The sequence below is a fragment of the Homo sapiens genome, chromosome 11, assembly GCF_000001405.40.
Source record: "Homo sapiens chromosome 11, GRCh38.p14 Primary Assembly".
Lineage (NCBI taxonomy): Eukaryota > Metazoa > Chordata > Mammalia > Primates > Hominidae > Homo > Homo sapiens.
The window spans coordinates 125,775,281-125,779,096 of record NC_000011.10 but is presented as its reverse complement, the minus strand read 5'-3'; the positions used below and the strand labels follow the sequence as shown (position 1 = coordinate 125,779,096).

The window sequence follows — 3,816 nt, the reverse complement described above, 5'->3', positions numbered from 1 at the left end:
CAACCCTGCACATGTACCCCCTGAATCTAAAATGAAAGTTGAAAATACTTTTTAAAACTCTGCAATATTGAAGTAGGAGCAGGTCTGGTGAATCAGGAACATTACCATTTCATTTTCATTAGAGGATTTGCACAAAATCAAAGTGAGTACCCTCTTTAGAATGCTGTGCAGCAATCAGATATGGTGGTTTGGCTTGGAACATTGCCATACTGCCTGTCCCTGAAATTTTATGATTATATAATTTAGATGACTAGCCCAAGGACAGATCACAAGAGAACAACTTGCTCCTTCCACAGGAAGCTGCACCTGACAGAAGCTCCAGGATGCTTGTTCTCTTTCTCCTGGGCACAGTCTTTCTGCTCTGCCCATATTGGGGTAAGTCCTGGAGACAGAGGGGAAGCTGGTGGTTGGTTAAGAGACGGACAGATGCTGGGGGAAGAGAAAGTTTTCAAAATTGGCTCTTGGGGCAGTGGCAGATGTATGTGAGACTGTAACATGGAAGGTTTTTCTTCTTTTCACAGGTGAACTTCATGACCCTATAAAAGGTACAATCATGGCTTCTCTGAAGTCCTTGGTAAACAGGCAATTTGTGACATGTTTAGGAGCAAACCTTTCCTTCATCTTCAGAGAGGCCTGTAATCCATTCTTATTATAGAATCCTAGGGGTTTCGCCTCCTGCCAGACCTGTTTTGTCCATTTCTTAGAGTAAGGAGGCTAAGATCCACTTTACTTTCTTTTACCCATTACTCGGCAAAATCATCAGGCTAGATAAGGGGTTCATTACTGGAGGTCCATGGATAAATTTCATGGGAACCCTGACCTCCTGAAATCATATACAGTGTTTGATTTATGTTTGTACAGGTTATCTTTCACAAGATTTTTTTAATTGGAGAAAATGTGTACAAATTTATTAATGTGTACATGGGGAGGACCGCAGCATGATTATCCCTATCTTTCTCAAGATTACCAAGAGTCCATGGTCCAAAAAATGTTAGGAACCACTAGGCAAGAATAAGGTCCTGTAGTGAAGCCCCCAGCCCCAGAGAATATTCTCAAGACTGCATCCTCTAAGCACCTCTTTTTGTATCTGGCAGCGACTGAAATAATGTGTTATGAATGTAAAAAATATCATCTTGGGTTATGCTATGGTGTCATGACATCCTGCTCCCTGAAGCATAAACAGTCCTGTGCAGTTGAGAACTTTTACATCCTTACAAGGAAAGGTAATGTGGAGTATAGAGTGACTGGAAAATCACCACCACCATCCCTGAGAAACAGTAGTGTTCTTTTGCCCTCAGCGTGAGTAGGTGAATGGGATGGGTGAGTATGGGGTGGTCTTGAGGGGATGGCAAAGACAGACTTTTCCCTAAGACCATATTGAGTGAAAAAGAGGCTGATGTCCCTTACCTGGCAGGGAATAAAATCTACTCTCTGGGTCAGCAATTAACAGACTCAGCTTTGGAACTCATTTGGGCCTAGAGAAAGGTTAGTGAGGACACAAAAACAGATTACTCCTAGGAACGCAGTAAAAGGAAATGAGGTCATTATGATCATATTTCCTCTCTTTTACCTCCTCAGGGCAGAGCATGTATCATTATTCAAAACTGTCGTGTATGACCAGCTGTGAGGACATCAACTTCCTGGGGTTCACGAAGAGGGTAGAGCTCATCTGTTGTGATCATAGTAACTACTGCAACCTCCCTGAGGGAGTTTAGTTCTACGTCTCTCCTGGATTTTGGGTTCTTTTTCAACCACTACGCTCTTTTTCTCTTCCCTGAACCTGAATTTTGCTCTCCTCTTCTATGCATTGGTAGAGAGTGAGAAAGCCAGCTCATAGTGAAAAGACAAGCAGGCATAAGGAGACGCAGTGTGGACAGCGGAGCCTATTGATGATGGAGCACTAGACTCACTCTTTGCACATCCCTGTCGCTAACAGGTGGGAGGGGTTTTGCTCTCCTTACGTGATACTGCCATGAATAAGCTCAGACTTGGTCATTTATTATCTCCTGTATGAAAATGTGAACACTTGGGCCATAATAATCTCCAATTTGTACTGAGAATTCTGTGACTATCCTCTATCCTCATCTACACACACACTCCTCTCCGTTGGAATTCTCTTTGGATTAGCCCTGACACTTTCTGGCACTGTCCTTTTCTGCCCGTGGGTTCTGGAGAGGGCTAACCCCAGCTTCCCAGTGTGTTGGCAGCATGGGCCAAGTCTTTCTCTGATAGAGCTCTTGGGGGAACCTCAGGGCAGAAAAAAAAAAACTGAACAGACATAGGGATGAGCATCAAAGAAAACTTCAGGGGGCATTTCAACTGGTAAAAACTAAGATCTGAGAAATAACTTGCTGTGGGTGGAATTGGCTTGAATTATCATTGCCCTGGCTGGCCAGGCAGCCTTGGGCACATGGTTGAACTAGGTGATTGGATTGGGAACAGAGTGTTTTTTTAAGGATGGCTAGTCAGGTTCTTCTCATGGGACTGAGCAAACAAAATGCTGATAATGTGGCAGGTGGTGTAGTAGTTGAAGATAATAGGATGTAAATAGATACCATGAGGTAGTGTTCAAGTAACAGAGTGCCCTGTGTAAGAGGAAGTTATGAGTTTGCAGAAAGTGTGAGAAAGGTAGCATATATGGGTAACAGTGGTGGGAAGAGAAGAAGGAAGACACAGAAACAGATAGGAAGAGAAACTGAGTAGCATTGATGTTGGAGCACACCTGTGGCCAAGGTGGCACATTTTCCTTGGATACACACTAACCCTGGTGTTTCTGTCCTTATAAGGCTGACTGCACCCTAGATGACGGGTTGATGGGTGCAGCAAACCACCATGGCACATGTATACCTATGTAACAAACCTGCATGCTGCACTTTCTTTCATGTATCCCAGAACTTAAAGTAAAATAAAAAAATAAATAAATAAATAAAGGCCAGAAAAATTGGCCAAAAAATCTGAATAGAAAAAGATATACAGATAGTAAATGAGCATATGAAAATATGCTTAACATCATATCTCACTAGGGAATTGCAAATTAAAACAACAATATTACGCAACTATACATTTTAAATGGTCAAAATCAAAAAAATAAAAAACCCTCACAGTAGCAATTTTTGTCAAAGATATAGAGCAATAGGAAATCTCATTTATTGCTGGCAGGAATGCAAAATGGTAATGCTGTTTTGGAAGACAGTTGGTAGTTTCTTAGAGAGGTGATTATACTCTTGCTATGTCATTCAGTAATCATGCCTTTAGATATTTACTCAACCAATTTGAACAGTTATGCCCACACAGAAACCTGCACACAAATGTTAAAATCATATTTATTCATAATTGCCTGAGACTAGAAGCAATAAAGATGCCCATCAATAAGTGAATGGATATGTAATCTATGGTACATCCAAACAGTGGGATGCTACTCAATGATGAAAAGAAATGATCTATCAAGCTATGAAAGGACATGGATACATTTTTAAATGAATATTGCTAAGTTAATGAAGCCAGTCTGAAAAGGCTACATACAGATGCTCCTCAACTTATGATGGGGTTATATCCTGTTATAACAATTGCAAGTTGAAAATACTGTGAACTGAAAATGCATTTAAAACACTTAACCTTCCAAACATCATAGCTTAGCCTAGCCTACCTTAAATGTGCTCAGGATGTTTACATTAGCCTATAGTTGGGCAAAAGCATCTAACACAAAGCCAATTTTATAATTGGCTTTGAGTATCTCATGTAATTGAGTATTTCATGTAATTTATTGACTACTCTACTGAAAGTAAAAAACAGAATGCTTGTATGGGTACTAAAGTA

The 3,816-nt window shown here is 40.7% G+C and overlaps 1 protein-coding gene across 1 annotated transcript; it reads left to right on the top strand.

Annotated features, from left to right (window-relative positions):
• Window positions 1–268: 268 nt before the first annotated feature.
• On the top strand, window positions 269–2,984 carry PATE2 (prostate and testis expressed 2). The gene is made up of 4 exons (NM_212555.3): window positions 269–375; window positions 522–545; window positions 1,095–1,223; window positions 1,579–2,984. Exons 1-4 carry the CDS (start codon window positions 324–326, stop codon window positions 1,713–1,715), a joined length of 342 nt encoding a protein of 113 aa, NP_997720.1. The 5' UTR covers window positions 269–323; the 3' UTR covers window positions 1,716–2,984.
• The last annotated feature ends 832 nt before the right edge of the window (window positions 2,985–3,816 follow it).